The sequence below is a fragment of the Homo sapiens genome, chromosome 12, assembly GCF_000001405.40.
Source record: "Homo sapiens chromosome 12, GRCh38.p14 Primary Assembly".
NCBI lineage: Eukaryota > Metazoa > Chordata > Mammalia > Primates > Hominidae > Homo > Homo sapiens.
Window position 1 is genome coordinate 4026891 of NC_000012.12, and position 13954 is coordinate 4040844.

Below are 13954 nucleotides of genomic sequence, written 5' to 3' on the forward strand. Positions count from 1 at the left end.
AAAGAATGAATGGAGACTGTGGGAAGGGCCAGGCCATTCTGCTAATTGCACTATGAACCGGTGGATAGCAAAGAGATGTGCCCCTCAGAGACCCTACTTTCTCTTGTGTTTTGGCGAGCGGCCGCTGAGTGGGTCTCAGAACTTTAAACAAACAGTGTCTTTTATAGAAAAGGGGATGCACCCCCTTCTTTCTCCTGCACACACTTCAGGAGTGGAGGTTCCCAGAGGGATGACTGGGTGCCTGGAGCTCTTCGCATCCTTTCCGCCAAGCTCTCTTGGGACCAAGGACTGCCAGGGGCCATAGGAGGCAGGCCAGGAGACCAGGGACTTTTCCCTGGTGTGAAGCTAACTGTCCCTCAGCCAGCACAGTGGGGAGTCACTGTGATTCCTACTGTGGAGAGCCAGCCAGACTGGATTCATGGCTCAGAGGTACCCACAGCACTCCCTTTTTAGGTGGAGACACCCTCCCTCAGAGTTCAGTAGAGGAGTTCAATGAAAAAACTGGATTTTGTAAGGGTGGGCAGCTTTGCAAAATATTGAGAAGCACACATTTCTCAGTTATACAAGGCTCATTTCCCACATGGGTGACCTGAAGGAGCAGGTGATGCATCCCCGCTGCACCACAGCCTGAGGCAGCCACATGGGTGGGGGTGTGTGTGTGCACGCGTGGGTGTGTGTTTGTACCAGGAAACTGAAAGTGAAACAGGCCAGTGACATTTCCAGGGCTCACATGGAACAATATGCAGGAGGGGGGCAAGATTGGCCCAGGGCCTGCAAGCAGTGATGGACAGGACTGAAATGAAATGGGGCCTCACGCTGGCCACACCCTCCCCACCAGCTTTGCCCAGAGTCCACACTGCAGGCTTTGCCCACAGAGTCCATACTGTAGGCTCTGAACCTCCACTGTGGAACCACATGGGGAGCCACAGGGACCAGTCCCACGGAAAAGCCAGGACATGCTCCAAAAGATGGCCCAAGGAGGTAAGGACAGAGATGGTGGGTTGAGTCACTGGAAGGGAGAGAAGGCAGGAAGATACAGACACATGTAGGAGACCTACAGTTCAGTGGATCCGCATCCACGTCCACTCTGCCAGTATTCCAGAATGAAGGAGAGCAAGCACAGCAAGCACAGACCAGGCCAAGCGTTGGTAGACTTGGAAAAAGCTGGAGTTTACAATGTGGTATGCACGTTTTACTGGGAGAAAATGTGTCAGGGATGAGAAAACTGAGCTTTGAAGACAGTTCAGTATGGATGAATTCTCTTCAATCTGATGACTTGCTCTTCCCCACTATCATCACTATAATCCAGTTTTCCACCACCTCTGATCTCTGAACTTGTCTTCTCACTTCCACTCTTCCTCACCCTCTCCCCACCTAATTCGTGCCCCATGCCTCAGCTAATGATATTTCTAGAGTAAAAACTAGAACTTGAAATCCTCATCTTAAAACCTTCCAGTGGATTCCCATTGCTCTTTGGAACTATACCAAAGTCCTCATGTTCTCCGGAGCTCTGCATGATTGGTTTGCCTCCTCTTTTCCTTTCCTCCTGTCTCTCTCCGGCGTGGGTGGCTTTCTCTGGTTCCTTGAATGCAGGATCCCTCCTGCCACAAGGCTTTAGCACACGAATGCACTCACCCATCACTCAGTTCAGTGCATGATTATGTGTGAATGTGTGATTGCTAGATTGGTGGTTGTTTAATTGGGTGGACTGATGGTTACACCAGCCTTTTCCTTATTGGAGAGTAAGCTTTTTGAGGACAGCAACCACAAGTTTTGTTCCCATTATAGTCCCAGTACTGGAAAGGTGCCTAGTGCACAGCAGATGACCAGTAAATATTTGCTGAATAAGTGAGGGAATTCTTCACTTCATACATTCTTCACTGCTAGAAAGCATTCAGGCCAGATGAGGAGCATGAGGCTTGGAAGGACAGTGACTTGCTAGAGGGGCAAGAGGGAATGGGAGGGAATACCTAGGACCCGTAGGGGTGAAGGCAGGCTAGCTTCTGAATCACAGCTGAGGGGATGATACCTAGAAAAGTTTCTTGCCATGCGTAAAGCTTCCCTGCCTTAGCATCTTCCTTTAGAGATAACTATGACTGGCACCCAGATCACATTGGTAATTCAAAGAAACAGCAGTATAAATTTTATTTATTTATTTATTTATTTTTTTAGAGGGAGTTTTGCTCTTGTTGCCCAGGCTGGAGTGCAGTGGCATGATCTCGGCTCACCACAGCCTCTGCCTCCCAGGTTCAAGTGATTCTCCTGCCTCAACCTCCCGAGTAGCTGGGATTACAGGAATGCGCCACCATGCCTGGTAATTTTGTATTTTTAGTAGAGACGGTGTTTCTTCATGTTGGTCAGGCTGGTCTCAAACTCCCGACCTCAGGTGATCCGCCCGCCTCGGCCTCCCAAAGTGCTGGGATTACAAGCCTAAGCCACTGTGCCCCACCTAACAGCAGTATACATTTTAAAAGAAATTTATTTTTTTGACCAAGTTTTGGGATGCATTTTTTAGTCCAATAAAAAATACAGGCAGCTGGGCATGGTGGCTCACACCTGTAATCCCAGCACTGTGGGAGGCTGAGGCGGGAGGATCACTTGAGCCCAGGAGTTCGAGATCAGCCTGGGCAATATGGCGAAACCTTGTGTCTAGAAAAAAATACAAAAATTAGCCAGGTGTGGTGGGGTGCACCTGTAGTCCCAGCTACTCGGGAGGCTGAGGTGGGAGGATCACTTGAGTCCAGGGAGCTCAAGGCTGCAGTGAGCCATGATTGTGACCACCACTCCAGCCTGGGCATGGGCAACAGTGAGACCCTGTCTCAAAAAAAAAAAAAAAAAAAAGGATGTGTGCGTATATACATATATTCACACACATATGGTAGGTATACATCTATATATACATGTATCTGGTAGGCTAAGCCTACCACATATCAGAACAGACACCAAAATAAACAAAATATCAGAAAAGATGACCAAAATTCTTAACTAAATGGACAGTTTGGATACTGCTCCATGGTAGAAAAGGCTGTACTGTGTAGCTAGTGTTCTGTAGATTCTGGAAAGGAAATCTCTTGTTTACGATTGTGCTGCTTAGCTTATAATAGATACACCATAAATATTTGTTGAATGAATAAAGGAATAGAACTTTCATTGGTATGGAAAGAGTCCTGAAGGGCAGGGGCAAAACCACAGCATCTAAAGTGCTAAAGCCATCTGTTCTAGCAATTTATTTGCTATTTCTTGGAAGGCCTATTATTTTATAATCCAATTTCCTGACAGAAGTAGAAGCCCATAGGTTCTAACACCTTTGGCTATTTGAACCTAGGTAAGTTATCTAACCTGTCTCAACTTCCACCACCTTATCTGTTAAATGGGTATGATAATTCTTTACTTACCTGGGGATAATTTAACTGTTCTGATGGGGTACAAAATAGAAGTGGCCTCTGTCCTTTCTAGTGGAAGAGATAGTAAGCAAATAAAATTAGAAAATTACAGCTTTTAACATAGGCATGATGGAAAACCGCAGGGTGTCACGTGGGAGTAGCAGTGGGACCTCATTCAGATTGGGGCACAGGGAAGGCTTCACTAGTAAAATGCCATTTATGCGGAGACCTGAAGGATGAGTTAGGAATTGGCCAAGAGATAGTGAAGGAAACAGCACGCGCAAAGGCCTGAGGCAGGAAAAAGCTGGGGGAGAGGGGCAGTAATTTCAAGCAGCCCAGAAAGACCACTGGGATAAAGCTGGATGGAGAGGGACAGAGATGCTCAGAGGTACTAAGGTGGGGGAATGACATGATGCCATTTACATGTTGAGAAAAGCACTTGGGCCGCTGCGTGGAAAATCGTTTGGGGCTGAAGTATAAGAACTGGATCTCGGTTCTTACAAGAACCTGAATCTTAGCGCCAAGGACTCTAATGATCCTGCTCAAACCTCTCATTTGAAACACGAGAAAAAAACCCCAAAACACCAGAACTACAATTGTGAGAAGCCTTGGCCAGGATCGCACGTTAATCTGGTTGTAATGTAGCTGTGAACTAGGGTCTCTGACTGCTCTTCCGCGATTTATGAGCCCGTGCCCCCCTCCCCCCGCTGCCTTCTGCAATGGTGGAGTGGCCAGGAGATGACTGCCGGGCGTCGGAGTTTTGAGGCAGGCGAGGGTGGCTCGCAGGCCAGGCTCCTGCGGTCCGGGGAAGATGCGCAGCAATGCGCCTCCAAGCCGGGCCCAGGCCGAGCGCCTCTCGCCGCCGCGCACATTCCGGAGGGGGACCGCGGGGCTCAAAGGGCCTGCGGCGTAGGTGGCTCAGCCCTTTCCTTGGCTTTCCCTCCAGGGCCATACTTGCCGAAACCCACTGCCTGAGCCTCCCGCCCGCCCGCCGCGCCCCCGCCCGGGGCCGGGAAACGAGCAGGGACAACTCCCCGCCCGCGCCTCCCCGCGCCCGGCGGCCCGGCTAGCAACCCAGAGGCGCGGCGCTGCGATTGGCTGCGCGGGGGAGAAGGGGCGCTGCGCTGCTCCAATCGCCGGCCGCGCCCGGAGGCCGCGCCGCCAGGAGGCCGCGGACGCGTGCTCGCATGCCTGTGGTATTTGCTCAGAGGGGCATGACCACTTCGGGCAAGCCTTTAAATGTGAGTCAGCTTTCGGCCGATCCCTGGGAAAAATTCCTTCGGTGTTGTCAGGCAGGGTTCGCTAGCTGCAGCTTTTTTTTTTTTTTTTTAAACAATTCAAAAGGGATAATCCCGCTGAATGGGGAAAGGCATTCGGACCCCGTCTCCCCGGAGGAGAGGCCGTGGGCAGTGCCGGGGGCCAGGCCTCCCCGACTCTGGGCGGCCCCGAGGGGCTGGTTTTCTGGAGGGTCAGGGCACCTGCCCTTTCTTCCCTGCGCCCTCTCCCCAACTTCAGCAGGGCACAAAGGGCCGGGGGGCACGTAGACCGCGGGGCGAGCAGTGCCCCCTGGAGTTGTGCCCGGTCCCGGCCTCCCTTTCTCCCCTCTCTCCGCGCTTCTGCTCCTGGACCCGGCCTGGGGAAGCCGAGCGGTTCTAGGTCATCTCTCCACCTCCCTAAGCTTCAGTTTCCTCATGGGCGAAGGGGAAGGCGGACAGTAGAGGAAGTGAGCTGGCCTGGGAGTGTGGAAACTTGGCGTGTTCTCCCAGCTTAGTCTTACTAACGTGCTTGGGCAAGCCCCTTCTGCACTCCCGGCCTCAGTTTCCCCATCTGTAAGATGAGAGAGCCGGTCTGGAAGAGTCCATGAGTGTAGTGACATCAGGCGATCGCGGTACCCCTTCCTGGGGCCTGTGGGCGCGGGGTGGATAAAGCCCTGTGACTTGCCCGCCTGCTCCTGCACAACTCCATAGCTGCTCCCCCAGGCCACCCAGCTTCCCCTCCCAACGTCATCTTAGAGACGCCCAGTAGGCAGGATTGGGAGCACCAAGGGGAAAGAAGACCAAAAAAGGCCGAGGGCTGAGGGAAGTGAGTTGGGACTGGAGGGGTTTATGTGCAATTTGATTTTAAACGAACATCTTGTGCAGAAGAAGAGGCAATTTGGCACCTGTTACTGGTGGGTTAATAGCTTAGGCACTCTTGGTAATGGGGATACAATACTGTGAAGACCAGATTAGCCGACTGTGGCAGCAAATTATGAGTTGACCGGAGGCTGGGTGCGGTGACTCGTTCCTGTAATCCCAGCACTTTGGGAGGCCGAGGTGGGTGGATCACCTGAGGTCAGGAGTTCGAGACCAGCTTGGCCAACATGGTGAAACCCCGTCTCTATTAAAAATACAAAACATTAGCCGGGCGTGGTGGCAACTGCCTGTAATCCCAGCTACTCGGAAGGCTGAGGCAGGAGAATCGTTTGAACCTGGGAGGCGGAGGTTGCAGTGAGCCGAGGTTGCACCATTGCACTCCAACATGGGCAACAAGAGTGAGACTCCGTCTAAAAAAAAAAAAAAAAAAAAAAAAAAGAGTTGACCAGAGAGATGCCATAGAATCTCTGCGCTTGGGAATCTTTGAAAGATAAGGCAGGCACCACCCTCCCTCCTTTGAAGGGCTTTGAAATCCAGGCAGAGTGAAACTCTTAGAGCGCTCTGAATCAAGAGACCATTGGAGCACTGGCTACTTCTGTGTGTGAGAAGTGTGGTTTGGTAAAAAAGAGCATTGCACTGTGCTGCTAACACAGGGGTGTGACCTTGGGCAAGTCACTTGCCTATTCTCAGTCTCCTTTTCATCTGCAGCAGGATGAGGGATTAAGCTAATTGACCTCTTAAAGTCCCTTACAACTCTGACACTCCACGATGAAATGGAATAATGTGTGAGTAATTGCTTTGAAAACTGCATAGCACTAGGGGTCTTTTTGTTGTTATTTTTATATAGATAAAGGTGACCTGAGAGTTCATTAAACTCTGAAACTGGTTGTAAATCAGGCCATCCACAGCCTACCAGCTGAGATTGCAACAGGGCATTTTTTGGCGACAGGTTTCTCTGGCCTGTGAATCAGTATTATTTATTCTGTTTGTACTGTCAGTTCCTGCCCTGGTTTTGTAGCCTGAGGCAGCCACTCTTCGCACTCTGCCTTGGTTTCTCCACCTCACTTGCCTTCTCCAACTTCTTGTGATTCAGATGAATCATGCTATGCCTTTGCCAAGCTTGGATCTCCTGGAAACAGGACTGCAAATTTGGAGGAAGAAAAACGAGAACCAGATTGGTTTGCCACAACTAACTTTGACCATTCTCCTTTTTCCTTCTCTGTGATCTTCCAGTTGTATGGGGGGCTCTGGGATGTATGCAGATGGGGAGGGGGAATAGGCTGAAGATTGAGAAAGAAAAAGGCAGGTGCCAATCATAAAGGAAAGGATTTAAAAATGTATTCCTACCAATTCAGAAATAGGGAAAGACATCTAAACCATCAGGAGGGTCAGATGATCATTATGCACTATACAAAAAAGAGTTCCTAGACTGGAAACCTGGTGCAGAGTTTAGTTCTGCTTGGGCAGGTCAGGGTAGTCTTCAGAAGGGGGTGATACCTGGGATATTTCTAAGGAGAAAGAGCAGTTTTTCTTGTAGTGAGAAGTGCATCTAGCCTGTGGGTAGGGCCTGAGCAAGGCAGAAAGTGAGACTGTGTAGTGGGGCTTGCGTCTCCTAGGAAAGGCCAGTCGCCAGGTGTGTTGTGAGCTCAGGTGAAGATGGCAGAACTGGAGCTGGAAGGCAGAGTTATAAATGGTTTTATCTGTCCTCTTAAGAAATTTGGACTTTATTTTGTAGGAAATGGAGAATAGCTACAGTCTTTTGAATAGGTGGGAGAGATCAGTGGTAGGAACATTGTTTTTCAAACTTCAGGTTATACAGGGAAATTCAGGTCATGACTGACATTTGAAAAATAGAATGGATGAGAATAGAATGGAATAGAAAAATATGAAAATCTGTGTGTGCTGTAAGTATTGGTTCATGAAATGTGTTTGTGTGTGTGTGATTGTGTATGTTCTGAATCATGGTATGAAATATACTTATTATTGTGGGTCCTGGTAACAAAAAAGTCTGAATCCACTGGAATTCAGACCCTTCATGCTGAATCGAGGGGTATGGATTGGAGGGGGAGGGACAAGAAGTTCTTGCAGGCAGGACAGGTGACTTGCATTCTGTCCCACTTCAAGCTCTCAAGAAGGAAATTGCTTAACTTTTGAAAAGAGTTAACCGATCTCTTCCAAGTCCTCCTCCGCAGAGGAAAGATGATTATATTTGCCCTGCAGAGTAATGGAGGAGACTACTAAAGTATTTGGTACCCTGCTTCATTGGTAGGGCGTGTTGCCTAACAGTGCAGATGCTGTGGATCAATAGTTGGGACTCGGTTCCTTCCCGTCTCTACCACGCATCCACATGGCTGTGGTACAAATCATGATCCTGTGAACTAAAAATGATGCTAGTTTTCCATTTTTCCAGTGAAACATTTGCAATTCCTATAGCCAGCATTTTGGGATATCATAGCCCATGACTGGTATTCAGGCATCAGTTTAGTGAAGATGGGAGACATCATCCCCAAAACATGAATAATAGCCTTATATTTAAAGCACTTAAGAAGGCTACTTCATAACCTCCCTCAGTCAGTAATATCAGTGGTCTTAACAGACCTGAGGGTTGGGGAGCCTTTGGGGATAATGAATTCCCTCCCGATGCAGTCATAGAACATCTCCTATTCTGCTGGTCTCAGAAAAACTGGAGAACAGCTGGCTACCATCTGCCCTATGACATGCCCATTACTTTAAGACTGTTTCTGGGAGTCAATGTTTGCTTTTTCTCAGGCAGCCTTATATGCAACAAGGGCCCATTTACTTTCCTGAGTCCAGCCATGTGGAGAATGTTGCTCTCTTGCAGCAATACAGCATGGTCCAACTCGTTTCTTTTTAAGGTGACTGACACTGTGCACATTTGGTTACATGTTGTACACATCCATGTCCTCTTCCTCTTTCCTTACCCAAACCAGACTCTATGCATTTGGTCCAAACCAGACTCTATGCATTTGGTCCAGACACCACTTCAGTTTACATAACTCCAGACACAGTCTCATGGTTGCACCTTCAGGGCAAGCATACCTACATCTCTCTTCAGACTCCATACATGTACATGTTCTTTTTCTGAGTGGGAACTGTTCAAGTTTCCTTGATCCTGACTGGTTCTTAATCCATAACAACAAGAGCAATGCGCCATGATCTGAATACCACTTTGTGCCAAGCACTTTTAAGCAAACTTTAAGAGACATTATTAACTGTCTTTTGCAGATAAAGAAATTGAAGCATGGGTATTGTTCATAATTGCACATCTAGTTAATAATCAAGTTGAGTTGCAAAACGAAGTTTCTTTAGATTGCAGTCTCGTGCTTTGACTCCTGAGATACTCTCCTTTCCCTGATTCTTTTCTGGTAGCCTCCTTCCATGACAGCTAGGAATGCCTTCTCTTTCTCTTCCCATTTTGTCTTAGCAAAATTATGAATATCCTCTTTAGAGAGAAGGTCTAAGTGGAATCTCGTTTTGCACTGGCACTATACAGAGGAAGCACATCCAAAAGTCATTATGTCTAGACTTCTGCCTCTTGACAGACTTCCCTTGCTGTGAGAGAAAGAACTGCTCTCAGCATAAGATTGAGGAAGAGACAGAAGGAAAGTGCCCCAAGTCACACAGCTCTGGATCTAAAGATGCTTGAACAGTGAGGCAACCGTGTGCTCCATTGTACCCATCCTACACCCCTTTCTTTTTTTTTTTTTTTTTTTTTTTGAGATGGAGTCTCACTCTGTTGCACAGGCTGGAGTGCAGTGGTGTGATCTCGGCTCACTGCAAGCTCTGCATTGAGACATTCTCCTGCCTCAGCCTCCCAAGTAGCTGGGACTACAGGCGCCCGCCACCACGCCCAACTAATTTTTTTTTTTTTTTGGTATTTTTAGTAGAGACGGAGTTTCAACCATGTTAGCCAAGATGTTCTCGATCTCCTGACCTCGTGATCCTCCCGCCTCGGCCTCTCAAAGTGCTGGGATTACAGGTGAGCCACCGCGCCCAGCCCACCCCTTTCTTTATCATGTATTCATTCCTTATTTACAGCTTTGCCCTCCATCCCTACCTTCCTTTGGTCATCCACTATTGTGTCAGGAACACCAATCAGTCATTCCACAAATAATGAGTATGATCAAAGATCAAACATCTTTGATGTGAATAGCACTTGTCTTGGCTATTATCCAATGTCTGGGCCCTGGCCATTCTCTATGGCCAGGGATATGATCAGGGCTGGCCAGATGCACAGGGAGGGCACGACATGGGGGAAGTGTACGCATTTACACCTGCCAGGCTGGAAGACCATCCTTTTGACCAACATGAGCTCCTACGAGACATAACAAGGCTTTTTTCCCTTTGCTTGGAACGAGGAACCATAGAATTTGCTGAGGTGGGGAGGTTCTAGTGGGTCATCAAATCTAGCCTCTCCCATCTGATGCAAGAATCGGCGTTACAACTTCTCTGACGTTGCTCAACCAGCTTCTCCTTGAACACCCCCAGATGTGAGCTAACTTGATCTCCTCACCCCATTTTTTTGGAAAGCTTTATGTGTTAGGCAATTCGTATAATTCTCTGTCAGGCTTGATCTGATTCCCTAATCCACCCATGGGTCCCATTTCTACTTCTTGGGATGACATAGAAGAGTTCTAATCCCTCTTCCATGTGATAGCTCTTCAAATATTTGAAGGCAGACGTGATGTCATTCTTAGTCTTTTCATGCTGAGGATGCCCAGTGTGTGCCAGTTTTGCAATTCTTAGGATTCTTAGTAATGTCAATCTCACTTGCAGGGCATACTTGAGTTAATGCATAAATAATGAGCTTTTACCATGTGCCAACTCCCTTCAAAGACATTATGGAATTCAATTCTCATGTCCAACCTGTGAGATAAGAACCCTTTTTATTTTATAGAGGAGAAAAGAAATTAATGAGGTTAGGGGTTTAAGCCAAGGTCATGTAGTTAGACATGGACAGAACTGGCACATTAACCTGAGCCTTTTACCAAACACATGTGCATTATTTTTTTCTCTATATGAGTTTCACCAGGGCAAGGATGGTGCAAACATCCAAGATACAGGTCTTGTCATCCTTAATACATAGGATCATAGAGAAGCGGTGATCTATATATATCTCTGCAGTCTTAAGTCTTACTTGCTAGAGCCATTTTCTGCCTCTACTTCTCCCCCACCTAATTCTGGCTGTAAATTGTAACAAGATATCGGATAGCCTCTCCATTTTTTTGCACATAGAGAAACAGAGCAGAGAGGTTGATGTCCAGGATACTGTTTACTTGGGGACACAGTGTCAAAATCAGAATTAAATCTCCAAGTCTTCAAAGACAATCATTTATTGCACATAAACAGAAATTGCTAATTTCACATGTGTATGCTTGGAGTGCAAAATATTGGAGACATTTGGCATTTTCCATAATATTTTTGGAATACAGGAGCCCTCTGGTGGCCAAAATTGTAGCAAGGAGGTATCGTTCGGAAAGCTGATCTGAGATTTCCTACCAGTACTCCTCTTAGTGCCCTCTGGCTTTGTTTGAGGGTCACCCCTTTTCCATTTTGCCTCTTTCTTCCTCTTTTCATACACGGTTACTTGCTTTTTGCCCACCCTTTCTCCTTTCCCCTTCAAGCTCCTCTCTGCATCTTCCCCTTCAACTCCAGCTGTCACCCCTGATCCCACTGGAATCTCTCCTTGCTGCCATCTTTGGCCTCGGAGGACCCTTTCTGAAATCTGGCCAGTTCCCCTGTGGCAGGTGCTGAGTGACAGCTGCTGCCTTGCTGCTGCTTCAGTAGTGAATTCAAATCCCTTGTGGGTGTTTAGAGCCTGCAGATGGATTAACTGATGATTCCTGTTCATCAACAAGCATTTGCAGTATCCTGCTAAGCATGTTAGGGATACTGAGCGGCCCCTAGAAGCAAGTGCTCTTGGAAGAGGCAGGTGAGCTTCTTCCCCCTTAGGCACAAGGAGCTCACCACACATCACCTGGTCCCTGGGGTTGACCAGCTGTCCAGACCTGGGCCATTCTAAGTTTCTATGTATAGCTCTTAACTGTGCAAATGTCTGTTTTCCTCATTATTGTGTGCATGGAATGGTCTGTCTTCTGTAAGATCGCACCTCACAATAGCCAACAGCAAGTGAAGACCCACAAAATAGCTGATCCACATATTGGTAATTGAGAACTGACCACTGATCCAGAGGCAGAAGTTATACTGGTGGCTTCAGTGGATTTCAGTGAACCAAATGAGGGGAAGGAAAGCTAAAATAGGACAGGCACAGAAATTTTGGCTAAAGTTTTAGACACCATCTTCTTGGCTTCTAATGCAGTAAAGTAATGGGGCAGTATAACACTTAGAAGGCACTTTGGACTCTTGAGAAAAATATCTTCCATAAAATGAGCTGGTGACTTTATTACACTGCGGTGCTTAACAGTTAGTGGCTTAATCACGGGGCAATTGGGTGAGAGAGGCCAATTCATGACCCTTACTGCAGAGACAATCAGAAAAGCCTTCTCAGGGTGCAGAGCATGTTGCAAGAGGGTGGGGTGCCAGGCTCCTGGGCATGTTAGAAAGTGAAACCAGAAGAAGGGCTCTGGGGAGAATCATAAAGTTTGGGAAGCTACAGCTTTCTATAAACTGTAGAAGAATGGCTCACGCCTGTAATCCCAGCACTTTGGGAGGCCGAGGTGGGCGGATCATGACGTCAGGAGATCGGGACCATCCTGGCTAACACGGTGAAACCCCGTCTCTACTAAAAATACAAAAAATCAGCCGGGCGTGGTGGCAGGCGCCTGTAGTCCCAGCTACTCGGGAGGCTGAGGCAGCAGAATGGCGTGAACCCAGGAGGCGGAGCTTGCAGTGAGCCGAGATCGTGCCACTGCACTCCAGCCTGGGCGACAGAGCGAGACTCTGTCTCAAAAAAAAAAAAAAACAAAAAAACTGTAGAAGAAAAGGCTAGGGTGGGTGAGGAGGTTGCAGCGGGCATTCCATTAGTTAATACGGTCCAACTTGATGGAGGGGTTGTGCAGTACTGACAAAGTGCAGCTGGGTTTCTCCTGCCACTACCACCCCAGCAAATGAGAGTGGCCTTTGGATGAAGCAAGATGAATTTGGGCTACTAGCTATGAGGATTTGGGCAGGATTAGAAAGTGTTGCCTGGGTGGCTGCAGAATTCTCTTCTCTCTAGATTTTAAGAAAATGCAGACAAGTCTTTTCAGAGGCCTTTTTGGAGGTGCACGTGGGTGAAGCCCTACCTCAAAGATGCATGAGCAGCTGGGCTTGGTGGCTCGTGCCTGTAATCCCAGCACTTTAAGAGGCCAAGGCAGGCAGATCGTTTGAGCTCAGGAGTTTGAGACCAGCCTGGGCAATATGGGGAAACCCCGTCTCCACCCAAAAATACAAAAATTAGCCAGGCATGGTGGTGTGTGCCTGTAGTCCCAGCTACTTGGTAGATTGAGGTGGGAGGATTGCTTGAGCTCAGGGGGCAGAGTTTGCAGTAAGCCATGAATGTGCCACAGCACTCCAGCCTGGGTGACAGAGTGAGAACCCGTCTCCCAGATAAATAAGTAAAAAGATGCATGAGCTGGCCTCTGGCAATGTTCTTCCTAGACTTGTCATTCTACAGTCACCTTAGACTTTTTGTTTCACAGCATTTTATGGACTTTTAAAGTTTGTCATTTCCGGGGTTTGGGAGTGAAAGGGTGATGCTGGAGTGTGTGCTACATCTGTCATCTTAATTCAGTTTCCCTCTATAGGCCTACTTTCTTGCCCTGTATCCTGCCAAACCACAGACACTCATCCACCTCCCAGTTTCTGACATAACTTACAGATTCACTATAACTGTCATTCCACCAAGAATGGTTTATGTAATTTTATGATAAAAGCAGTACATGGTTTGTGTAATTTTTCCCCTGGTTCAGTGTGTGTGCACTTACCGCAGTGCCCTTTTTAATAGAGCTGGCTACAGTGATGGGATCACTTCTCTGTTCTGAACATGAAGCTTTGGGCAAACAGCCTGGACCATGTCTATTAAATGTGCTTTGTTTAGCATCTTATTCCAAAGACAGGTGCTAAATAATTTTTTATAGTGATTTTAATGACATAACAAAAAGCACACTAGATCAGAAATTAGATGATCTGGTTTAGTCCTTGCCTGCCACCAATTAGCTCCTCTAGGCCTCAGTTTCCACATTTATGCAATGAGGAGATTTAGATTAGATGACCTTGAAGGGCACCTTCAGCTCTGAAATTTACCACTTATCTTCCATAATGGTGACCTCCTCCATAAAGACTGTCACCTTCTCAGGGGCAGGGGAACACCTCGCCTGTAGTGTTCCCAGAATGCCTGGCAGGACTCTGGCCCTTGACGGCAGGGGTGGGTGGGTGGGGAACAAGGAGTGCTCAAATATCTGTTGATAGATTAAT

General features: G+C 47.7%; 3 annotated features.

Moving 5' to 3' along the window:
• Nucleotides 193–698: an enhancer, noted in NCBI's record as "H3K4me1 hESC enhancer chr12:4136249-4136754 (GRCh37/hg19 assembly coordinates)". NCBI's record gives its function as "activates a minimal SCP1, AML or CMV promoter by ChIP-STARR-seq in naive H9 embryonic stem cells {active_cell/tissue: H9 hESC(naive)}" and the evidence as "EXISTENCE:reporter gene assay evidence [ECO:0000049][PMID:30033119]".
• Nucleotides 699–1203: an enhancer, noted in NCBI's record as "H3K4me1 hESC enhancer chr12:4136755-4137259 (GRCh37/hg19 assembly coordinates)". NCBI's record gives its function as "activates a minimal SCP1, AML or CMV promoter by ChIP-STARR-seq in naive H9 embryonic stem cells {active_cell/tissue: H9 hESC(naive)}" and the evidence as "EXISTENCE:reporter gene assay evidence [ECO:0000049][PMID:30033119]".
• Nucleotides 4272–4511: a silencer, noted in NCBI's record as "silent region_4144". NCBI's record gives its function as "represses an Ori minimal core promoter by ATAC-STARR-seq in GM12878 lymphoblastoid cells {active_cell/tissue: GM12878}" and the evidence as "EXISTENCE:reporter gene assay evidence [ECO:0000049][PMID:35858748]".